The sequence below is a fragment of the Homo sapiens genome, chromosome 10 (genome assembly GCF_000001405.40).
Source record: "Homo sapiens chromosome 10, GRCh38.p14 Primary Assembly".
Lineage (NCBI taxonomy): Eukaryota > Metazoa > Chordata > Mammalia > Primates > Hominidae > Homo > Homo sapiens.
Genome location: NC_000010.11, coordinates 13,707,259 through 13,730,573, shown reverse-complemented (window position 1 = coordinate 13,730,573; position 23,315 = coordinate 13,707,259). Strand labels below are relative to the sequence as shown.

Here is a 23,315-nt window from a genome sequence, read left to right as displayed (position 1 = left end):
GAGACAGTGTCAGGTTGGCATTTAGGCACCGGAGGTAAATCCCAAGTTTCGTCTTAGTTTGCATTTACGGTGGAGTAAAGAGAGCTAGGCCATCAGAAAAGAAAAAACTGCCAGCTGTGTGAAATGACTGTCGATAGCAACATGCCTCAGACTGGGTATCCCACGGGTTTCGGGCAGTTGTGCTGGTACAAGCAAGAGTTTTACCTCTTTCTTCCCTGGAAACGTTTGAATGAAAATTAAATGCTATCTGTTGAGGCATTGTTTATTAAATCTTGCAGAATCGGGATCCCACAGGGCAGATATAAGTAAGTCTGGACAAAATCTGGCTCACGTCCGGCTCTCTCTGTAGGGGAGGGGTCCTTACGTTCCTTTGATTGATTGAAGCCCGAGAAAGCCTGAGAGCTCTAATCTCTGGGACAATCTGCCTTGTTTGCAGCGTCAGTAACTGAGGCATTGGGAGACCAGGGGGTTGCACAGTCCCCAGACCTGCAGACAAACCAGCCATCTGATCATCGGAAGCCATTACACATTAAAGCAGAAAAGACTTTCCAAAAGGACACTAAGAGTTAGAATAAAGAGACCTCCAGCAGGCTGTATCTGAGGCTTTAAGCATTAGAGCAAATATTGTGAAGCACATAACTCCAAAAAAGCCTCCCTTGTAAAGAATATTCAATATCTGTAAATCATCACTTAGAAATGCAGCCCAGATTTAATGAAATCTCCCCCCTGGGAAGAAATAGCAACATCAGTCCTTGTTACATATTCAGCAGACAGCATTTACTTATTTATTTGATGTGCAATTAGGGGGGCTTTTATGTACACTTAGATGCACAATTAGGAGCACTATGGGGTCCCCTCTGAGGCATTAGGAGAAGGAACCAGAGTAAACGGCCTGCCCCCCTGTCCCTAAGCAGCCGCGGTGGCTTCCAGTGATTCCTAAGGGTATTTCGGAAGCAGGGGCATTGGCTCTGGAAATTGATGCATTACTTTCACTCCCCCGGATTAGTAAAGATTTTTGAATGAAATGAGATGATGAGACAGGAAGGGAAAATAATATTTACAGGAAATATTCCATTAACTTGGCGTGGACTCCCGGCGGCATTGCCCCGCTAAATTATGCGGTGCGGTGTACGTTCTGCCGAGTGCGCCGCGGATTTATCGTTCTCTTCTGTCGGCGTTTGCCTTGGCTCGCTTTCTCCTTGCTGGGCCTCTGACTTGACCGGCCTAGGTGGCTGCCTCCCTCATTCCAGCATCCACATTCCCCTTGGAAGCCACACCCTGTGCACACCTGGGAGAAACACTTCACTTAATGCACTCAGCATTCTTAGCATTTTGCAGCTGCCCCTTACTCATTCACAGTGTAGGACCAAAGGGCCTTCTCGTATGTTATCATTCTTTCAGATCGCAGCACAGTCTGAGTGGACCTGAACGCTTTCCATGCGTCTAGAGACCAGGCCTACTTGGCCGCGGGGGCGGGCGGGGGCGGAATTTGGGAGTAGGAGGTGGAGGGCATGGGGAGTTCCCAGAATCTGCTACTTAAAAATAACTCTCCAAGGACAAAAGGAATCATATTCTAAGAAAATTGAGATCGTCTTCTCAAAGCATCAATCCTAGACATCCTCCTTCTCAAATCACCAATATCAGACATGGCTGAATCATCTCCATTTGGAAGAATAATCCCAAACTCTAAAGAGTGGTCATCGGCTGGGCACGGTGGCTCACACCTGTAATCCCAGCACTTTGGGAGGCTGAGACGGGCGGATCACTTGAGGTCAGGAGTTCGAGGCCAGCCTGGCCAACGTGATAAAACCCCGTCTCTACTAAAAAATACAAAAATTAGCTGGGCGTGGTGATATACGCCTGTAATCCCAGCCACTCAAGAGGCTGAGACAGGAGAATTGCTTGAACCCAGGAGGCAGAAGTTGCAGGGAGCCGAGATCACGCCACTGCACTCCAGCCTGGGCAACAGCAAGACTCCATCTCAAAAAAAAAAAAAAAAAGAATGGTAATCACCTGAAAGCACTGAGCTAGCACTTAGAATTCCGTACAGGGTGGTGAATATGAAATCCTCTCCAATAAAATGGCCCCCATATGAGTATTCATGGGGGAAAGTCAGACTCGGTGAGTTTCAGTGGCAACTGACTTGAGTTTGCTTCTGCTGATGATACAGAGACAGGACCATGGGTCCAGGAGGCAGGATACCAGCATTTCCATGTGGGCCTGGCTGAGCAAGAGACTCAACTCACCAAGGCCGGTTTCTCTTCTCCCAGTGCTTCAAAGCAACCCTCTATCTTGCCCACCACATGGGGGTTTATGATAATATGGGTTGCTATCAATATTGAATGAACTGCTTTAAAAAAAAATGAATAAAACTAAAGCACTAAACAAACATAAGGCATTTCCAATTACAGACAACACTTTTGAAAGCACCCTCTGTATTCCTAGACTTTCTAGTTCTCTGAAACCCTAGGAGTTGTTGGTGAGGATGTGTGACTCTTCCTGCCTGGAAGTTCATTCACTTGTTCAGTACGTGTTGTCCGAGTGCCTGTCAGGTACCAGGCCCTGCTCTTGGCTCTGCAGAACAAGAGAGACTATGTCCCTGCATGCACAGAGCTTACAGTCTAGCAGGAAAGGCAGTCAAATTTATTTATTAAAGAAAGCTACAGCAATAGTGTTCGAGCACTAAATTCTCCCATCCAAGTACTAACCGGGCACGACCCTGCTTAGCTTCTGAAATCAGACAAGATCAGGCGCATTCAGGGCAGTATGGCCATAGACCTGAGAGTTAAATTCTACGAAGACAATAAATCAGAGTAAGGAAGAGCGGGAGGGGTGATGGCTGGTCAGGAGGGGTCTCTCAGAGCTAGGGCCGTTTCAGTGACTCTCTACTCCCGAGTGTTGTACATACGATTCCCTGGGAAGCAGTCTAAGATGAACTCGCATGCAGGAAGTTTACTGGGGTGTGCCCTGGACTAACAACAAATGGTAAAGTAAAGGAAGCAGAACCAGGCAGAGAGAGAAGCTGATGCAGTCCCAACATGGCGCCCTCAACCTAGACGAAACTCGGAAGCTAGGATGACCCCGGAGCCACCGCCATCACTGTTGAGGCTGGGGGCCAAGACTTACCCCCTCCCCCCAGCATTAACCAATCATTAGATCCAAGTGACCCCCTTGGCAAGAGGGTGGTGACCTTGGGCAAGGTGGTTCTCTGTAGCTGAGACGATTCCGGGAGAGGGCGTACGTCCTTCAGTCCTGCAGGGAGAAAGAGGCTGGTCGGTGCTGCATGGTATCTTCTACAGCAGTGGTTCTCAGTGTGGTCCTTGGACCAGCAGCATCCTCATCACATGGAAATGTGTTAGAAATGCAAACTCTGGCCAGGTGTGGTGGCTCACATGTGTAATCCCAGCACTTTGGGAGGCTGAGGCAGGTGGGTCACTTGAGGTTAGGAATATGAGACCAGCCTGGCCAACATAGCGAAGCCCCGTCTCTACTAAAAATACAAAATTAGCTGGGTGTGGTGACATGTGCCTGTAATCCCAGCTACTAGGGAGGCTGAGGCAGGAGAATCACTGAAACCTGGGAGGCAGAGGTTGCAGTGGCCGAGGTCGTGCCATCGCACTCCAGCCTGGGCGACAGAGCGACATCGTGGGACCCTGTCTCAGAAAAAAAAGCAAACTAACGGCCAGGCTAGGTGGCTCACACCTGTCATCCCAGCACTTTGGAAGGCTGAGGCAGGAGGATGGTAGCAGTTGGAGACCAGCCTAGGCAACATAACAAGACCTCATCTCTACACACACAAAATACAAAAATACAAAGGAGTAGTCCCAGCTACTTTGGAGCCTTGAGGAGGTTGAGGCTGCAGTGAGCCAAGATCACACCACTACACTCCAGCCTGGGCAACAGAGCAAGACTCCATCTCAAAAAAGAAAGAAAGAAATGCAAACTAAGGATCCCCGCCTGAGACTTACGAGCTCAGAAACTCTGAGGATGGGACTCCGCAATCTAATTCCACAAGCCTTGAAGGTGACTTGAGCACAGGCAGTGGAGCTTAAGGCCCACTGCTCTGCATACAGGCAGTTAACGAGGACCTTTCTATGAGATCCTACTTCGTTGTTTTGCTGTTGTTATGAAGACATTTTAGTCTGAGTTAAAGTCAAATTCTTTCCTAGAGCAGTTACACTTCTAAACAAAAAGAGAGAGATGTTTTGTAAATTCACGACCTTCATGACCTCCATATCCACTCCAAGACCCAAAACAGAAGTTTCTTTTTTGTTTTGTTTTGTTTTTGTTTTGTTTTTTTGAGACAAGGTCTCACTCTGTCTCCCAGGCTGGAATGCAGTGGTGCCATCATAGCTCACTGCAGCCTTGACCTCCTGGGCTCAAGCAATCCTCCCACCTCAGCCTCCCTAGTAGCTGGAGCCACGGGCGTGTGCAACACACTCGGCTAATTTTTGTATTTTTTGCAGAGACAGGGTTTTGCCATGTTGCCCAGGCCCCCAAAGAAGAATTTTCTTGACCAAAGAATTTTGGCGCTAACTCACTTCCTTGGCACTAACTCACTTCCAGTTTATTTTAGAAAGTCATGATTAGCAATTTATTTAACCTCCCTGTGCCTCTCTTTTTATATCTGTGAAGTGGGGACTAAGAGACACAGAATAGATGTAGTCTAATTTTCTCCATCTTGAATAAGTTTACTTGTCACAGAGTTTCTCATTCCCCAGGATAAAAGTGGCATTGGCCTTGACATAGCAAATATTGTTACAGTCATTTATACTGAAAACAAGAGGTGGGATGGCCTCGAAAAGCAAACAACGTCTCTTTGTGAAGAGGGTTATTTTTTTGTTGGTCACTGGACCTGGGAAGCCAGGGTTCCTCGGTTCCCACAGGGCCCTGGGAAGGCCATCCCGAGACTGGTCTGGGTAAGCCAAGCTCCCAAGGGCACCAGCCTGTATCTTGTGTTCTTGTTGAAGCCCATGCTGGTGTCAGACTGTCACCTTTGAGGAAGGTTGACCTGTCTATGAACAGAAAAAAAAAAAGCATTGCCCTGTCCAGGTGAATAATTCTTAGAGAGCAACTATTGCATGAGAGTAATTAATCTGGAAAGTCACAGGAGGGGAGGAATGTAATTATCCCCTAAAGAGGGGCAGGTCTAAATCTCTCCCAGGGTGACAAGCTTGGAGGCACCTCCTGGAAGGGGTACACTCAAGCTCCAAGAATCTCCCCAAGTTGTCTCTGAAGTCAGTCTCCAGGCCTGACATACCCTTGGGGTGCTGCACGCCTGCCCCTGCCCCCTGCCATTATTTGCCGGATACCTGGCCCAGCAGTCAAGACACCTCACAATTCTACACAATTGTGAGCCACTTCCCTGGGCCTCAGTTTTCTTAACAAGTCGGTTGATGAGATGATCGGGAATCCTGATGTTGAAGGAATCTTAAAACTAGAAACAAAGAGAAATAAAACAAGGTAAATAAAGCAAGCTCATTTTAAAGCCAGAGGGGAGTCATGAATGAAAGAAAGGATGAAAAGCAACAGTTTTCCAGAAGAAAGTGGTAGGAGGGGAAAATGCCAGTTTCTAAGTAGGTAACCCCACGTCTGTCTTTGACTCCCGTGGAGCCAGTGCTCAAGCTAGATCTGATTAAATAACCAAAAGCGGTTTTCCTACTGCAGCTGATATGTCTTTGGGGATATGTGTCTCCCAGGATTCATCTGCTTCCCACACAATGCCTGGTCTCCTCGACCTGCTGTTCTCCCTGCCCCTGAAAAGGCACGTGGACCAGCACTGAGAAAGGCCATATAAATAGCCACGTTGATTGTGTGGACAGTAGGGGTCAAACACAACACTTGGTATTTATAACATGCAAATAAACACCCAGCCAGATGACGTAGCAGCCGCCCTGAGACTGGCTGGCTTCTAAATAACTCTACAGATGCAGATTCCCATTACTCAGGGAGCCCCGTTGACCTTGGATGCAATTTGAAGAAGCAAATCAAAACCAAATGCTATCGTTGGATCCCAAACCACTGCAGAGGAGCATCCAATAGCCTCGCTCGCTCCAAAAGAAGCCATGAACCGGTAGTAACCTATGAACAGATCTGGTTTCTCTAGCTGGAAGACAGAAGACTTTGCTAGGATAATAAGAACATCGACCACCTGGGACTGAATAGACAAATCTCCTTTTTTTTTTTGAGACAGAGTCTTGCTCTTTCACCCAGGCCAGAGTGCAGTGGCACTATCTCAGCTCACTGCAACGTCCGCCTCCCGGGTTCACACCATTCTCCTGCCTCAGACTCCCGAGTAGCTGGGACTACAGGCGCCCGCCACCACGCCCAGCTAATGTTTTGTATTTTTAGTAGAGACAGGGTTTCACCATGTTAGCCAGGATGGTCTCGATTTCCTGACCTCGTGATCCGCCTGCCTCGTCCTCCCAAAGTGCTGGGATTACAGGCCTGAGCCACCGCGCCCGGCTGACAAATCTCTTTTATCTCCCACTGTTCCTTTGAACATGCTCTTCCTTTATCTCTCAATAAAAACACGGGCAGTCCCATGACTTTTCTGATCACTCCCAGGTATTACAACGTCACCCAGTCACTTTAAATAGCAAAATAAGCTTTTATTAAGAAATTAGAGTGTCCAGTTCTTTATGACAATCAAAGCTTCAAACTTGCTCTAAAGTTAAATCTCTCCATTCTCCCATCTGAGCTCCATCCCCGCTTCAGTTCGTCTGATGTCAGGGGATACCTATTAAGCTCTCCAGGTAACCCTAATGAACCCTCTCTTTCCAGGTTGAAGGAGAAGAGTACATCTTCTACCTTCCCCCTGTGGGTGGCAGAGAGTTCACAGAACATCTCCCTCTCAAGAACATTTCTAAAAATGCTCTCTCAGTTTCCACCCTCCTAAACACTTTATACCTCAATTGTGGGTGAGGGATTTTCGGGGTCATCTAACCAGAAGATATTTTTCAAATTGTGATAAAATGCACACAACATACAATCTACCATCATAACCATTTTTCAGTGGCCAGTTCAGTAAGGTATATCCCCATCATTGCGCAACAGATCTTCAGAACTCTTGTCATCTTGCAAAGCTGAAACTTTACCCATGAAACAATAACTCCTCTTTTCTCTCCCCCCATCTGCTGGGAACCATCATTCTACTTTCTGTTTCTGTGAGTTTGAACACTCATATAAGTGGAATCAAAGTTATTTGTCTTTTAGTAACCATAGGGTTTTAATATCCAAACCAAGATACCACTACAAATGAAAAGGGACATTAGTGAATAATTATTCCATGATATCAAACAAACCAGGGTTACTGGCAAACAAAGATACATGTTGACCTAGCTAACCAGCTTGGTGACCTAGCTAACCAACATAAAAACCTAGCTAACCAGCTTGGAGACCTAGCTAACCAGCATGGTGACCTAGCTAACCAGCATAGGGATGTAGCTAACTAGCATGGGGACCTAGCTAACCAACATAAAAACTAGCTAACCAGCTTGGAGACCTAGCTAACCAGCATGGTGACCTAGCTAACCAACATAGGGACCTACCTAACCAGCATGGTGACCTAGCTAACCAGCATAGGGATGTAGCTAAGCAGCATAGGGATGTAGCTAACTAGCATGGTGAGCTAGCTAACCAACATAAAAGCCTAGCTAACCAGCATGGAGACCTAGCTAACCAGCATGGTGACCTAGCTAACCAACATAGGGACCTACCTAACCAGCATGGTGACCTAGCTAACCAGCATGGAGATCTGTCTAACCAGCATGGAGATCTATCTAACCAGCGTGGATACCCAGCTAACCGGCTCCCTGCCCTTGCTTTTCACCTCTCCTGTGGAATGGTCTGCTCATGGCCCTCTCTAGTGATACTGCTCATCATAAAATGTCAGCCAGAACTTCCAGTTTACTATCCTATGGCTCTAGTTAGGCAGCGGTGAAGTTACTCACAGACAGCATAATTCATGACAAACCTGTGTAGGTGAGAATCAAACCAGTGATTGGGAAGACCAGAGGGTCCCAATGAGGCCAGCCACAGTGGCTCATGCCTGTAATCTCAACAGTTTGGGAGATTGAGGCGGGAGGATTGCTTGAGGCCAGGAGTTCAAGACCATCCTGGACAACATAGAGAGACCCTCGACTCTACAAAAAAAAAAAAAATTTTTTTTTTTAATTAGCCGAGTATGGTGGTGCATGCTTGTAGTCCCAGCTACCTGTGAGGCTGAGGTGGGGGGGTTACTTGAGCCCAGGAATTCGAGGCTGCAGTGAGCTATGATCGCATCACTGCACTCCAGCCTGGGCAACAGAACAAGACCCTGAGTCAGGAAAAAAAAAAAAAAAAAAAGAGCCCTGGCCAGTGGAATAGTTCATGCAACCACCCAATTCTTTCTCTCTAGCTTTTCCAACAGGTGTTTCTGCTGCACGGGATTTTGCAAATCTCTTTGCCAATGCTTATAATCTTTCTGAAAGGTGTACCCTGGCATCTGCTGCACTGCGTGGGGTCCCTGTACCCCCTGGAGCGAGCACAGCCTTGTCATGGGTGTCTCTTCTCTGGCCTTTGAACAGGAAGGCCAAGAGCCAGAGGAGCTCTGCCCTGCAGCCTCTCTCCGTCCTCACGTTTGACTGAAAACCAACCCCAGTCCTACCTTTAATGAGCAGTAGAAGTCACAGCTGAGAGAATTTCCTCTGTATGTGTGTGTGTATTTTTAGGCATGCACATGTGTATTTTTAAGGACATAATTGAGTTTATGTTTAAGGTTTGAAAACCCATTTACAAAATGGATCACTGGCCAGACTCCTCACTAGCCGTGTCTATGAGAGAGTGCTTGCCCATCCCCGAGGTAGAAGAACAGCACCCTGAGGTGCCGCTGCCCCAGCCGGCCTGGTGCTGACAGGCTGGAAGAAGTGAGTTGCCCTCTGTAGAGACCCCCAGAGCAGATGTGAGAAGACGGCCCTAGTGGGAGTGCCATCTGACAAGGGTCGGGGAGCTTTTTATGGACAAGGGATGCCACTAAAAATTAGGGATCCTCTGTTTTATCCTGGACTGCTAGCTCCTTTTAAATAATAAGTCTTATCGAGTTCTTTTTTTTTGAGGCAGAGTTTCACTTTATCATCCATGCTGGAGTGCAGTGGCGCAATCTCGGCTCACTGCAACCTCTGCCTCCTGGATTCCAGCGATTCTCCTCCCTCAGCCTCCTGAGTAGCCGGGACTACAGGTGCCTGCCACCACGCCTGGCTAATTTTTGTATTTTTAGTAGAGATGGGGTTTCACCATGTTGGCCAGGGTAGTCTCAAACTCCTGACCTCAGGTGATCCGCCCACCTCAGCCTCCCAAATTTCTGGGATTACAGGCATGAGCCTCTAGGCCCAGCCAGAGTTTCATTGAGTTTTAATCAAAGACTGTCTTGTGATCTGTGATTAATCCAGACTAGGATTCAGTAGGCAAAAGAGCAGAGGGCCACAAGGGGAGTACCTTGTCACTGTCCATTTCTCCCCATCCTCCAAAGCCCAAGGCACCCACTCATCTACTTTGTGTCCCTATGGATTTGCCTATTCTGGACATTTCCTAGAAATGGAACCATATGGTATGTGGCCATTCGTGTCTGGCTTCTTTCACTTAGAGAATGTTTGCAGGGTTCATCCCTGTTGCAGCACACATTAGTACTGCATTCCTTTTTTAGGGCTGCATAATATTCTATCGTCCTTTGATGTTTATTTCAGCATTTTCTACACTTGTACAGCAAACACAAACACACAAATGACGCCCCTGACTTCTGTATCTGCAGTCATCCTTTTCCCTCACATAGCTGCCCAGCTTTGCCCCTGGTTTCTTTCTGATATTGACTCGATGTCACTTCACCAACACCTTCCCTGGCTACCTTGTTAACAGTGGCAAACCCTGTCCTATCCTTCCCTGGTTCCCATTTGTGCTTCAAACCTGTTATCTTCTAACTTACTGTATGTACCACGTAGTTTTCTTATTTATTTCTTATTTATTTGCCCACCTCTCCCTTCATAAGAATGTGCAGGATACACTGCTGTATCCTCAGTGCCTGACACAGTGCCAGGTCCATGGTAGCTACTCAACACGTGGTTGTTGAATGGATAAAAGTTGCCGGAGCAGAATATCTAATCATTTTTGCGACCCACTGCTAATTTCACAGACTCCTCCTTATGTCTGTGGATAGTGGCCTCATTGATTGATGCTTTAAGAACATAACTGGGGCCAGGTGCAGTAGCTCATGCCTGTAATCCCAACACTTTGGGAGGCTGAGGTGGGCGGATCGCCTGAAGTCAGGAGTTTGAGACCAGTCTGGCCAACATAGTGAAACCCCGTCTCTACTAAAAATACAAAAATTAGCTGGGCGTGCTGGCGCGCACCTGTAGTCTGAGCTACTCAGGAGGCTGAGGCAGGAGAATTGCTTAAACCCAGGAGGCGGAGGTTGCAGTGAGCCAAGATCACCCCACTGCACCACAGCCTGGGCGACACAGCAAGACTCTGTCTCAAAAAAGAATATAACTCATCCAAGGAAGGGTTGCAGAGAGCTCCACGTAGAGAGCAAGATAGTTGGGAGGAGAATGGAGGAGAGGGACTGGCTTTTTACAGCTTAGGTTTGCTGATGAAAAAATGAAAAGCATAAAAATTGCTCCCATCTGGGCTCTCCTTTGATTTTATTTTTGTCCATAGCACCAAAAGAACACAGAGTAATGAGGATATCTTGAGTGAATTGCTGGAGTACTGCAGACCCTTGAATAATTCTGGTTAATCTAGACTTCTTTGCTTTCTTCTAAGGATCTGTTCAGTTGGGAAACCCTGCTTGTCGACTTCTGGTAACCTCTTTGTCTTGGCCAGTTTTAACAGCTTGTTTCTGCTGAACCAGCCAATACTTAGGAAGCTGTGTAAGGCTTTTTTTCCCCCTCCTTCTTCTTAATGAGTTTGATTCAGAGGGGAAGCCCAGGCTGAACTGACCTTCCGGAAAATGTAAACCTGTTTAACACCAAACCTTACACAGCCAGAACATGCTGTGCCCAACTCTGCCTGCCCGCCTTGGGCTGTGAATCGGCACCTGCAAGTAGGGCTCAAGGGTGTTACAGTCGGGGTCCTACCTGCCTGGGGTCATTCTTGACCACCTCAAGCAGACAGAGGCAATTTCTAGGCAACATGATTTGTAAAGATCTGACCTCTAGGTTGGGAGTAGGCTTCCAGTTTGAGACCATGAGCTGCTGGAATCGTAGACTTCCCCAGTTCACCTTGGAAGAGTAGAGTTCAGTTCTAACAGAGCTGCCAGAAAGAAGGGCTACGGCTCCTCGGCTGTGGCTCTTACCATTGTCCCTCCTTGAGCTGACTCTAACTGCCATTTCCCTATTATCGCATCCCTTGCAGCTTAGAAATGTATTTTTAACAATATATCTGGGTTCAGCCACTGGAGGTTCCTCACATGGTGGAAATAGCATGGAGTCGAGCAGACAGAGGAGGGCTCAAGTGTCACCTCCCACCATGTGGCGTCTGTGTGACCTTGAGAAAGTGACTTAACCTCTCTGAACTTCAGTTGTCATAATAGCTAATATCTCAAAAAGCTCTTCATTCATTCATTCACTCACTCAACAGACAACTATTGAGTGTCTAATATGCCCCCAGGTACATGCTAGGTGCCAGGAAAACATACTCAAGGAAATTTGAGTCTGGTTGAGGAAGACATTAGAGCATAAAAGCCATTACGGCACCACATGATCATTGCTTTGGCAGAGGTATGTGTATGAATATCTGGGAGAACTGGCCCAGACCAGGGCTGGGAATTTTGGGAGGCTTGGGATAGCCCTGGTGAAAAGAAAGTTGTTTAAGGCAGGCTGCAGAGTAGACACCTCAGCTTCCTCCTCTGCTTCCGCCCCTCCTCTTCCCCACAATTCAGTTTCCCCAAGTCAATCTGCACACTGCAGAAGTCCTCTGGGGGAAAGAGCAGAGCTCTAAATAGGACCAGCCCTCCTGGAAAGACAGAAAGTCTAGATCTGAAGTCCTCACTTCTTTCTGGAAGGAAACCTCGCAGAGCAGATACCAAATTGCTCCCGCAAGAGGATCCGTAGAGAGAAAGGCCCCAGCTGCAGAGACCGTGGCCCAGCCGCAGCCCCCTGCATGTCTCGGGTCAAGCGGAGAAGTCAGGCCCTCCAAGTGGAAAGTCCAGGCTGGAGCGGGGCAGGCCCACCGCCTCCTATCTCTGCTGGCTGCCGCCACAATTGCAGAGCAGCTGGCGAGACCGCAAGCGTTCCTTCTCCCAGCAGCAGCCTGACTTGAAAAGCAAACCACAAACCCCTGGCCTGATGCCTGCTCACCCGCCTCACTCCCTGGCACCTTCCAACCAGGGGAGCCTGGAGCTCACGCGTGAAGTTGCAGCAGCAAGCAATCTGCCTCGCTTCTGGTGCCCACCGAAACCAAGGTCTGCCAGACAGCAGCGCTGGGACCTCTCCCCTCCCCAGCAGGATGGGCCGGCTCTGGAAGCACGAGGTGTTCCAAAGTGCAAACAAGCTGCTGTTAAATAATTATTCCCAAACGCCAAAGCCCTTGCTGGTTTGCTTGCTTGCTTTTTTCTTTTTTTGCCTCGCACAGATATCGCTAGGGCAGAGTATTGACATTTCGTTTTCTTTTTGTTATGGGTGATAAAGCACGGTGTTTCTTGTGAGTGTATGCCTGTATTTCCCTGCAGAGCTGGTTGCCAGTCCATTTTCTTCTATCCCATCCCCATCTTCCGTACAGTCCGATGACCTCCACAGAGGAGATCGGGATGTCTCTATGATGCCACGTCTCTGGATAGAGCTGGAGCAGGCATAAGAGAAATGCCAACTGCCAACCCCCCCCGCCACCCCTGGAAAAAAAAAAAAAAAAAACAAGAACAACAGGTTTCTCCCTAAAGCCTGTCCTCCAAAGTAGTCAAACCCTGATTAAAAAAAAAAAAAAAAAAAATTTAGCCGGGTGCGTTGGCTCATGCCTGTAATTCTAGCACTTTAGGAAGCTGAGGCAGGCAGATCACTTGAAGTCAGGAGTTCGAGACCAGCCTGGTCAACATGGCGAAACCCCATCTCTACTAAAAATACAAAAATTAGCCAGGCATGGTGGCATATATCTGTAATCTCAGCTATTCGGGAGGCTGAGGCAGGAGAATCGCTTGAACCCGGGAAGTAGAGGTTGCTCTGAACCGAGATTATGCCCCTGCACTCCAGCCTGGGCAACAGAGCAAGACTCCATCTCAAAAATTAAAAAATTTTAAGAAAAATAACTTTACACCAATCTGGAAAGAGATGCCTTGGCCAAAGCAGGTGAAATGGCCTACCATCATTTTCTCCCCAGATGTACCAAGTATTTCTCAGATTGATTAATTCCCCTTTGAAGCATCCCACTGAGGTCTGTCATAGCAGGTAGAATTAGCCTTGGCTTTTTTTCAAGGAAAGACTGGAGCACAGAGAGGTTAAGCCACACATCACTGGGTCACAGTGCTCATTGCTAGAAAAACCAAAGCTAGACCCAGATATTCCAAATCACTGGACAGCTTCAGCCATTCAACCCACTGACCCCAGCCAGTCCCTTGGGGCACTCTGAGGAGGGAAGGAATTACATCAGGGGGCAGAGGATAGGAAAGGAAAAACAATTCCAGCTTCTCTTGAAAGTATTTACATTCATCAAAGCTTTATGGTGAAGTCTTTCTGCAAGAAAAGCCAAAATACACACAAGAAAATAATACAGAGAGAGGCCTCTAGGGAGAAAATTACAAGGAAATCAAGTCCAATGGAGAAAAACAAAATGGCCTGCGTCTCAATGGGCTTGTCAAGTACTTGTTAACCTCTTTCTCCCTTTTCCCCTAGTAATGACTCTTAAGCCAAAGGAAGCTAAGAGGTTTTTGATGGGTTAAAAAGAGGCCATCCATTAAGGGGTCAAGGCCCGGTGCTCTGGGTATCTGTCACTGAATGAACCAAATCAATTTAGAGCTCGCGTTGTCTGACAATGAGGAAGACGCAATTGGCCGGAAGAACATCTTGATTCCATTAGGCCTGGCTGCAGAGAAGAATTAGCCATTGTCTCCTGTGCTGGGTGTGTGGCCATCTCTGAAGAAGATAGATGCCTCTTTCAGTGCAAGTGATGGAGGACATCCTCAGACCCATTTAGGAAGCCAGTGATCTGCCGTCATTGTTTGGGTATTTGGGAGGGCCTGATATGTTCCCATTATAGCCCACTCTGTTCTGTGTAAGACTGAGTCATCTTACAATGGGATACTTTTTTCGCAGGGTGAATGTTTTGAGATTAGAAGTCATAACAGGAAAATGGTCAAAACTGACTCTGGTCAAGATTGCAGTGGACGGAGGAATTGGCCAATAAGACTAGGAATAAACAACCCCAAAGAGAATACAGCAAACTCCAGCACAAACGAATGAATGGGGACCCTGGGTCCAACTTCTCCTTGCATTGTAAACAATCCAATTTCACAGAAAACAGTTTTTGCAATGCTCATGACACCATATGAGTTGTCTTTCAAAAAAACATTACACAAACCTGTACTTTGTGCTGATATGTGTTCAAAGTATTCATAACTTTTATGTTTTACTTGAACAATAATATTGGTATGTAATTGACGGAGGGGAATGTGTACAATCATAGCATTTCTTTTTTTTTTTTTTTTTTTGAGGGGGGAGTCTCACTCTGTCACCCAGGCCAGAGGGCAGTGACACGTCTCTGCTCACTGCAACCTCCGCCTCCCGAATTCAAGCAATTCTGCTTCCTCAGCCTCCTGAATAGCTGGGATTACAGATGCATGCCACCACGCCTTGCTAATTTTTGTATCTTTAGTAGAGACTGGGTTTCACCATGTTGGCCAGGCTGGTCTCAAACTCCTGACCTCAGATGATCCACCCATGTCAGCCTCCCAAAGTGCTGGGATTACAGGCAAGAGCCACTGACTGCACCAGTCTCATATTATTTCTTCAGCACTATGTACCAGGCACCATTTTAAGCATTTAACATATATTAATTCATTAGTACAGCAGCCCTATGAGAAAAGTGCTATTATTCCTATTATTTCAAAGATGAAAAAACTAAGGCACAAATTCAATTGCTGAGAATACACAGCCGGTAAGTGGCAGACAGTATGACGTTGAAAACCATGCTTTTAATCCATGCTATTCTATATTGTCTCCCATCGGTAGGAAATGTTTAACTCAAGCTACTTTATTTTTAAATTCCAAAGAATTGCAGCTTGACATTCTCTGGATTTACAATGCTGACCTTCAACCCATGCACAGAATGTAGGAATGCCCACACACCCCCTCGTTTTAGAGAGGACGAAGCTAAGATGGAGAGGGCTCTACAAAGTCAGAGCTAGAACTGAGGGCTCCTGACCTCCCACCCAGGGTTCTTGCTCCTAAAAATGAAAACCAAAACAATCAAGAGTAAACAAGAGTCATGAATACTGATTATTTGAGACAAAAGCATGAGATATATGTGAATGAGGCAGCGCGGCACTTCTAATTTTTTTTTTTAATTTTTTATTTTTGAGACGGAGTCTTCCTCTGTCGCCCAGGCTGGAGTGCAGTGGCATGATCTCCGCTCACTGCAACCTCTGCCTCCTGGGTTCAAGTGATTCTCTTGCCTCAGCCTCCCGAATAGCTGGGACTACAGGCGTGAGCCACCACGCCCAGCTAATTTTTTGTATTTTTAGTAGAGACAGAGGTTCACCATGTTGGCCAGGCTGGTCTTGAACTTCTGACCTCACGATGGGCCCACCTCTGCCTCCCAAAGTGCTGGGATTACAGGCATGAGCCACCATGCCCAGCCTGCAGTGCGGCACTTCTATAGAGTTTGTAAAGCCTGGTACAGAAACCAGAGATGGTTTCCATCTCTGGCTATAGGAATCATGGGTTCCTGTAGCATGAATACAGCTACTTTATGTATGTCTTGTCTTCCCAAGTAGATTGTAAGCTCGCTACAAATATAAACATGTATTAGGCACCATGTGTTTCCTCTTGCCTATGAGAACAGTCCAGTACAAAGTAGAAGACTACTACATGAATGGTTGGAAAGGGAATGGGAATTCAATGCTGCCTGAAACCCAAGGGCCTTGCCTCTGTCTTCTTTTTTTGTAAAAAGTAAAATATATTGAATGCCTAAAAAACTGATAGAAAAAAAAAAACCTCTGACATATGATTTCAACCCACTAAAAACATATACCTGGGCCAGGATGTTGGCTCACACCTATAATCCTAGCACTTTAGGAAGCCAAGGCGAGTGGATCACCTGAGGTCAGGAGTTCGAGACCAGCCTGGCCAACATGATGAAACCCCGTCTCTACTAAAAATACAAAAATTAACTGGGCATGTTGGTGGGAGCCTGTAATCCCAGCTACTTGGGAGGCTGAGACAAGAGAATCACTTGAACCCGGGAGGCAGCAGAGGTTGCAGTGAGCTGAGAACGTGCCACTGCACTCCAGCCTGGAGGATAGAGTGAGACTGTGTCTCAAAAAAAAAGTATATTTTATATATATATATATATATATATATATATATATGTATATTTTATATATGTATATTATATATGTATATTATATATGTATATTACATATATGTATATATTATATATGTGTGTGTATTACATATATGTATATATTATATATGTATATATATTACATATATGTATATATTATATATGTATATATATTACATATATGTATATATATTATATATATGTGTATATATATTACATATATGTATATATATTATATATATGTGTATATATATTACATATATGTATATATATTATATATATGTGTATATATACCTACTTCTGTTGCCCCTTAGAACCGGCTGTGCTCCAATAGCAAAACCTTACCAGGGCACATGGGATCCAGTCCTCTGAGAGCACAGGTTTGGAGCTTTCTGGGTGCTCTCACATTTTAAATTCCATCTGATTCGGGTTCAGTGACTCCTTTCTTTTGCCCTGCAGCCCTCTAGATGTGAAACAACTCATTTGTATTTGCTGAAAATGTAAATCCGTCTAAAGATTTGCAAGTGCCAGTCTGCTCTAGAAAGTAAAAAGGGCAGAAATGAAATAAGGAAGTGAGTTTTTCAGTTTGTATGTTTTCTTCTGAGCTTGGAGATTATTCCTGTCCATGAGTCTAATTCTTCTTATATAGAGACTCAGAACAAGAAGCTTGAAACAACTTTGTTCTCGTTCATTGTCAGAGCTTCATGGTGTGTTAGAAAGAGCCCAGGACCAGAAGTCACAAGATGTGGGTCCCATCATCAATTACTTATTTAACCTCTGCCAATCCCTTAACCTCTCTCTACTGGGGTTACTTTATCTGTGCAAGGAGGAGGTGGACCAGATGGCTGCTGTGATTCTGTGTAATAGCCCCCCTGGATGAAACAGGAAGTTACTCATAGGGAGATCATTAAGAAGCTTGGTGACTCAGCCTCAGGGGCAGCGGGGGAAGACGAGGTTCTCCAAAGTCCTAGTCAAGCATCAGAGCCACTAGACTGAGCTTCCTCTCAAGCGTCTATTTCCACATCGTCCTGGGAGCTTGCCCACCACTCCACATGCAGTCCCAGCTCTCCATAAATGCTGGCTGGGGAGGAAGTCCAGTGGAGCCAAAGCCCCTTCCTCTGCCCCAGCCTTCAGCTAAATACAGGATGTGGGAATCCAGCAGGCCATCTAATAGAAACCAGTAACTGGTCCCTGCTCATTAAGTACTTAGAGTGGACCCTGTTGCATTCAGGTCTCAAAGGCAGTATTTATTACCCACTTTTGTTTGCACTCCGTGGATAAGTGTTTCCCACCTCCTGTTTTCATACATGAAGATACTGAGGCCCAGAACAGGGAAGTGGAGGACCTGTGATCGCATTGGGAGTCACGGCAAGTCTAGGTCAGAAACTAAGAATCCACATCCAGTATCAGCCAGTCCCAACAACAGGGACAGACATAGTCTCAAGGAAGCCACTACTTGGTGGTTTCCTCTAAGTTTTGTTTCACGCAAGTCCAGATCATCCAGGCTGTTTTTTTTGTTGTTGCTCTTTTTTTTTTTTTGAAATGGAGTCTCACTGTGTTGCCCAGGCTGGAGTGCAGTGGTAAGATCTCGGCTCACTGCAACCTCCGTCTCCTGGGTACAAGCGATTCTCCTGCCTCAGCCTCCGGAGTAGTTAGGATTACAGGCGCGTGCCACTACACCTGGCTAATTTTTAGTAGAGATAGGATTTCACCATGTTGACAAGGCTGGTCTCGAGCTCCTGACCTCAAGTGATCCCCCAACCTTGGCCTCCCAAAGTGTTGGGATTACAAGCGTGAGCTACCATGCCTGGCCCAGGCTGTCCTTCATCACAGTTGTCGTTGTGTTTTAGTCTTTGGAGTATGGAAAGCATTGAGTATTGAAAGCTACTGAGTATTGAAGCATTGCTGTATAGAAAACTAGAGGAAGCCAGGACTCCAAGGATAGAAGGAAAGAATACTTGTTATCATTTACCGTATAAAAGGAAAGCCAGGCCATGGTGCAGGATGAAAAAGATTTGCTTTTTTACTTTCTACTTACAGTCATATTGTAGCTCATTTGTAAAAATCATTCCACTTGTAAAGTTAACCATCCATTAGTCAGTAAGAGCTGTTCCCACTAATTGGTGGACTCCTGGGGAAAGCAACATAGTTAGAGGTTAGAGTAATGGACCAGGTGCCCTTGACTTCTATTTCTGGTTCCTTCACTTACTTGCTGTGTGGCCTTAGGCAGTTTTCCTTAATTTCTCTGGGCCTTGTTTCACCCAAGAAGTAAATTTCCCACTTGATCTTCTTGAGGGATGCCAAAAGATCAAAGGAACGATGTTTGCAGGGCTTTTTAAAGATGCTTAAGTGACGTGCACTAGAAACCCCTTGATTTAATAGGTATGAATTAATACATTCTTTGATTATTGGTAGAACTAAGTATTTTAGCTTTTTAATTAGCTCCTTGGATATAATTGGCCATAGGCGTTACACAAATCCCTAAGGGAACCGGCCCAGTCATCCTGATGATCATTATGGGTGCCTGCTGTGTTTTTATGCGGAGAGGCAGAGTGTGTTGGCAGCTTTACATGGTGGTGGGTTATGACGGCTGCACTGAGCCAGCGCAAGCTCGGGAGGCTCCCCTGAGGTGGCGCAGACCATCGGGGCTGCCCCGAAACCAGCTCAGTCAGAGCCCACCTTACCCTGTTTACAAAGGGGAGGCAAGGTGGAGCATCTCCTGTTTGTTGATTTGATTGTTGTGTTTGCTCTGCCAGCCTCAGAGTGAGGTATTTAACAGGCAGGACTTCTAAGCCTCAAGGGCCCATGGGCAGAAATGCCCCAGACCCCATGAAGAAAATGATGCTTTTCCAGCAAGCTGCACCCCGGCCCTGGGCAAGGGGCAGCTGCTTCCACCCTCCTGGTCCCTACTGCCTTCATATTCCTGCTCCCTAGCTCACCCCCTCCCTCCTAAGTGAAGAGAAGTCAGATCAGGCTACTGTTCTGACATGCACACCTTCTCTTCTGTTCCTGGGACCCTTTTGTTTTTGTGTTTGTTTTAAGAAGGAGCCTTGCTGTGTCGCCCAGGCTGGAGTACAGTGGCATGATCCTGGCTCACTGCAACCTCTGCCTCCCGGGTTCTAGTGATTCTCTTGTCTCAGCCTCCCAAGTAGCTGGGACTACAGGTGCCCACCACTACACCCAGCTAAATTTTGTATTTTTCGCAGAGACGGAGTTTTGCTATGTTGGCCCAGGCTGGTCTCAAGCTCCTGACCTCAAGTGATCTGCCCACCTCAGCCTCCCAAAGTGCTGGGATTCCAGGCATGAGCCACCATACCCAGCCCATTCCTGGGCCCTTCTAATGTCTCAACGCAACAATCTGATCCTGAAAACCACCCATCCCTTCACTTTACTCTTACCCTTCCTTCCCAGGATTGCATTTGCAAAACAAAAATTCATGCTTAAAGCAAGCATCAGGGGGAATCCATTGTTCTGCACCCTGCCACAAAAATGTCTAGTGCATCATCCCGGGGATAGGCCTGGGAGCCGGGACTCCATGGTTCGCAGCCAAGGGCAGAAGCTGGAGGCAGGGCCTTCCCACGGGCAGCTACAGCAGCCACAGACGGGGCCATGCAGCAGAGTCCAGATGGTTTTGTTCGGGCTCTTTGGCAGACGCGCAGTTCTCCACGCTGAACTGCATCAGGGAGCACTTAAAGCAAAGCTTGGTTTGTGTTTTATTTTGCATGGAATGGGGGAGACAGGAGTTGCCAGGGAAACAACCCCTCGGAGCATTCTGCTCTGGGGTTCTTCATCGGGTGGGGAGGGGGGCTTCCCATGAAAGGCACAGGGGTTTTCTCAAGCGTGCTCACACCTGGTTCTGCTTTCTTTCCTTCTCTTGGAGGGCTTGAGGGTTCCACCTCCCAGGCCTGCCCATTAGGCTGGCAGGCACCTTACCCCACAGAGCCTGCCAGCACCAGTACATGCCAGGACCTAAGGCCAGGATCAAGTCCACAATGAGCAGGGCCCAGTGCAAAATGGAAATGCAGGGCCCCTTGATCAAACCCATTAGGTGGGTTCAGTGTACACTGCTCAGGGGATGGGCACACCAAAATCTCATAAATCACCACTAAGGAACTAATTAACCAAATACCGCCTGTTCCCCAAAAACCTATGGAAATTAATTTTTTAAAAAGCGTATAGCAACAAGACAAAAAAAAAGAATAAAGATATAAAGAAAGAAAAAAAAACCTGTTAGGAATTTCAAGATATCAACAGCAGAGCAGGAAATCAAGCCAAGGACCTTCTGAGCAAAGGGCCCTCAGGTCGCACACCCAGAAGGCCGATCCTGTTCAAGACTTCACTTTGCCTGAGCAAGGCGGGTGCAGGATAGCGGCTGAGGGACCGCCGTGGTATGCAGCCAACAGGACCCTTTCATTGAAGTACCATCCACATCCCTTACGTGAGAGGAGGGGAGAGGCACTGGGAGAAAAATTCTCTGTATTTAAGGATTTGCAGCACACACATATTTTTTTTTTTAAATCCAAAACTCAGGGCTTGAGTTAGGAAATCTAAGAAAAGAATGATTCTGGTTGTTCTGGAGTTACTCTCTTTTAATCTGCAAGGATTTGGGAGAAGTAAGAGCATTTGGGATTCATAGTAAGATCTAAGGTCACTTTGTGCCGGTACTGTGCTACGATCTGTGGCTGCTGAGATCTACCTTAGAGGGGTTATTTTTGCCATTTTACAGAGGGGAAAACTGAGGCTAAAGGAAATGCTGTAACTTGTGTCAGGTCCAGCAGCTTAGAGCCTGAGTTGGGTGCGGTGGCTCACGCCTGTAATCCCAAAATTTTGGGAGGCCGAGGCGGGCAGATCACTTGAGCCCAGGAGTTGGAGACCAGCCTGCCCAACATGGCAAAACCCCATCTCTACTAAAAAATACAAAAATTATCCAGGTGTGGTGGCATAGTCCTGTAATCCCAGCTACTTGGAAGGTTGAGGCACAAGAATCGCTTGAACCCGAGAGGCAGAGGTTGCAGTGAGCCGAGATCGTGACACTGCACTCCAGCCTGGGGGACACAGTGAGAGTCTGTCTCAGAAAAAAAAAGTAGTGGAGCTTGGATTCAAACAGATGTAGTCAGACCACAAAGCCTGCCTGCCTGACCGCTTTGCTCAGTGTACTGCCCCCAGGCTATGAGGCCAATGTCGTGGAACCTGTTCATTCTGGTATTTTTGTAGCTCTGGCTAAGTTCAGGTGGAATGTCGCTGAATATATAATACCTGGGGACCAGAGAGGAAATTTGGGTGTTTTAATGGAAGGATTTATAGTGGCCAAGCATCAGACAGGACCATGAGACCTGGGTCTGTGTATTTTAGTAATAGACTCCGCTAAGGCGCTGTTGAATCTCTGACACAAAGCTGTCAGCCAACATAGAGCTTTGGGCCATTTGCTTTCCTTGCAGTGTCTCTCCACCCACCTGGAGTTGATGCTTAACAAGAAAGAAAAATACAATTTCCTTGGGCTTCAGAGTGAAATGCACTCTGAGCCGGGGACAAAAGAGGCAACTCTGTAATAAGAGATAATAGATATTCTCCTTCCCAGTACTTAACGCAGACAAAATAATTGTAAAATTCCAGAGAGCAGATTGTGAGGATAAAAGAATGTGGCCATTCCAGAAGCAGTTTTTATTCCAGCCCAGTTTTATATGGGGTGCTAGGTCCACTAGCCAACCATTGACTAGCAGTGTCCCCAGCCTGGGAAGACAGGGTGGGTCAGATACAGGAAATGGCCATCACGTCTCTAAGGTGGGCAGAACATGAGCAGGTCAGAGAGGGTCAGGAGCCTGAGGTCCGAGGACTCTGGGGTAAGACCCTGAAAAGCATTTAACTCAGTGGCCAGAGAAAGGGGGGAGCCCAGGGAAGCTGTTCCCCGCAGAAAGACAAGAACAAGATTCCTACTTTACCCCTTCTTTCCGCAAAATAAACCGAAATTCCCAGTATGTGGAAGGTGATGCAGTAACCAGCAAATATTAATGCAAATGTGTGTGCACACAAGTTGAACCTCCTGTGATATTTCCCAGAGGGTTAAAGTAACTTTCTTTTTCATCCAATGAAAGGAACCCCGTTCCTGGAGCAATTGGATGCAGCCCTAATTACTTCCAAACATTACAGTCAGCTTCTCAGTTAACGAGCTCACTGGTCCGAAGGAGGAATGACCGCCAGGGCCCCTTCATTCCACTTCTCACCCTCCCTGGCCAAGCTTGAGGGAGAGACTCTGGCCGCAGCGTCCTTCCGGGCGACAGAACTCTTGGTTTTCTTTGTGCTGCAGCAAGAAGAATGGGCTTGACAGGCTCACACTGTGATCTTGAGTTGCCTGCCCCCGAAATAAGGTCCCAGCCTCCTCCGCCCTTTGCAAGGCTCTTACACATTAGTGAGCAGGAAGTGGAGTCCCGATGGGAGGCTGGGAATTTGAACGCCTTCCCATTTCAGCACTGGAGGGGAGGAAGCTCAGTTCAGCACTCCACGCAGATGGCTACCGCTCCCTCCTGAGCGCTCGCTCCTCTCGCTCCTCTCCCCTCACCCGCCGCCTTCCCTGCTGGGTCCCTCTCCCCGGTCTCCACCTCTCCTCCCTCTCCTGGAAGGGAAAAGTCTGCCAAGCTGGGGACTGCCACGACCAAACCAACAAAGGCCGACCGAAGGCGGAGAACTTGAAAAGAACTTGTTTTGTTCCAGTTAAGGAACCTGCAGGAAAATCCACACCCACATTGCCTGGTTTTGAACTGGAGAGCTGCGTGTGTGTGTGTATGTGTGTGTGTGTG

At 47.0% G+C, this 23,315-nt stretch overlaps 1 protein-coding gene, 2 long non-coding RNA genes and 1 pseudogene across 9 annotated transcripts in view, besides 9 other annotated features; 1 reads left to right on the top strand and 3 right to left on the bottom strand.

Annotated features, from left to right (window-relative positions):
- FRMD4A (FERM domain containing 4A) overlaps positions 1-23,315 on the top strand; it is a 687,219-nt gene that overhangs the window by 600,351 nt on the left and 63,553 nt on the right. Inside the window, exon 1 of one of the 4 annotated variants that reach the window (NM_001318338.2) lies at positions 23,007-23,228. The exons of the other annotated variants lie outside the window; for them this stretch is intronic. The gene's annotated coding sequence lies outside the window, so the exon portion shown is untranslated. Of the gene's footprint in view, positions 1-23,006; positions 23,229-23,315 lie in introns of those variants that run through there. 4 annotated transcript variants of the gene reach the window in all.
- Positions 247-20,086, bottom strand: LOC105376426 (uncharacterized). Of its 4 annotated transcripts, none has more exons than XR_001747371.2 (4): positions 19,920-20,086; positions 18,560-18,652; positions 5,313-5,437; positions 247-3,252 (listed from the first exon to the last, which is right to left on the bottom strand). It is a non-coding gene; the product is annotated as an uncharacterized LOC105376426 (long non-coding RNA). The 4 variants fall into 4 exon arrangements; XR_930684.4 differs by lacking the exons at positions 18,560-18,652; positions 19,920-20,086 and adding an exon at positions 12,330-12,437 and having other exon boundaries at positions 247-1,288; positions 3,127-3,252; XR_007062058.1 differs by lacking the exons at positions 18,560-18,652; positions 19,920-20,086 and adding an exon at positions 12,330-12,437 and having other exon boundaries at positions 247-1,288; positions 3,191-3,252.
- Positions 1,532-2,386: an enhancer, noted in NCBI's record as "H3K27ac-H3K4me1 hESC enhancer chr10:13770188-13771042 (GRCh37/hg19 assembly coordinates)". NCBI's record gives its function as "activates a minimal SCP1, AML or CMV promoter by ChIP-STARR-seq in primed H9 embryonic stem cells {active_cell/tissue: H9 hESC(primed)}" and the evidence as "EXISTENCE:reporter gene assay evidence [ECO:0000049][PMID:30033119]".
- Positions 2,658-2,778, bottom strand: RNA5SP301 (RNA, 5S ribosomal pseudogene 301; annotated as a pseudogene).
- Positions 11,850-11,909: a silencer, noted in NCBI's record as "silent region_2158". NCBI's record gives its function as "represses an Ori minimal core promoter by ATAC-STARR-seq in GM12878 lymphoblastoid cells {active_cell/tissue: GM12878}" and the evidence as "EXISTENCE:reporter gene assay evidence [ECO:0000049][PMID:35858748]".
- Positions 12,130-12,179: an enhancer, noted in NCBI's record as "active region_3061". NCBI's record gives its function as "activates an Ori minimal core promoter by ATAC-STARR-seq in GM12878 lymphoblastoid cells {active_cell/tissue: GM12878}" and the evidence as "EXISTENCE:reporter gene assay evidence [ECO:0000049][PMID:35858748]".
- Positions 17,139-18,003: an enhancer, noted in NCBI's record as "NANOG-H3K27ac hESC enhancer chr10:13754571-13755435 (GRCh37/hg19 assembly coordinates)". NCBI's record gives its function as "activates a minimal SCP1, AML or CMV promoter by ChIP-STARR-seq in primed H9 embryonic stem cells {active_cell/tissue: H9 hESC(primed)}" and the evidence as "EXISTENCE:reporter gene assay evidence [ECO:0000049][PMID:30033119]".
- Positions 18,004-18,870: an enhancer, noted in NCBI's record as "H3K27ac-H3K4me1 hESC enhancer chr10:13753704-13754570 (GRCh37/hg19 assembly coordinates)". NCBI's record gives its function as "activates a minimal SCP1, AML or CMV promoter by ChIP-STARR-seq in naive H9 embryonic stem cells {active_cell/tissue: H9 hESC(naive)}" and the evidence as "EXISTENCE:reporter gene assay evidence [ECO:0000049][PMID:30033119]".
- Positions 22,164-23,008, bottom strand: LOC124902379 (uncharacterized). The gene is made up of 2 exons (XR_007062061.1): positions 22,922-23,008; positions 22,164-22,819 (listed from the first exon to the last, which is right to left on the bottom strand). It is a non-coding gene; the product is annotated as an uncharacterized LOC124902379 (long non-coding RNA).
- Positions 22,337-23,072: an enhancer, noted in NCBI's record as "NANOG-H3K27ac-H3K4me1 hESC enhancer chr10:13749502-13750237 (GRCh37/hg19 assembly coordinates)". NCBI's record gives its function as "activates a minimal SCP1, AML or CMV promoter by ChIP-STARR-seq in naive and primed H9 embryonic stem cells {active_cell/tissue: H9 hESC(naive and primed)}" and the evidence as "EXISTENCE:reporter gene assay evidence [ECO:0000049][PMID:30033119]".
- Positions 22,669-22,728: an enhancer, noted in NCBI's record as "active region_3060". NCBI's record gives its function as "activates an Ori minimal core promoter by ATAC-STARR-seq in GM12878 lymphoblastoid cells {active_cell/tissue: GM12878}" and the evidence as "EXISTENCE:reporter gene assay evidence [ECO:0000049][PMID:35858748]".
- Positions 22,799-22,848: an enhancer, noted in NCBI's record as "active region_3059". NCBI's record gives its function as "activates an Ori minimal core promoter by ATAC-STARR-seq in GM12878 lymphoblastoid cells {active_cell/tissue: GM12878}" and the evidence as "EXISTENCE:reporter gene assay evidence [ECO:0000049][PMID:35858748]".
- Positions 22,879-22,928: an enhancer, noted in NCBI's record as "active region_3058". NCBI's record gives its function as "activates an Ori minimal core promoter by ATAC-STARR-seq in GM12878 lymphoblastoid cells {active_cell/tissue: GM12878}" and the evidence as "EXISTENCE:reporter gene assay evidence [ECO:0000049][PMID:35858748]".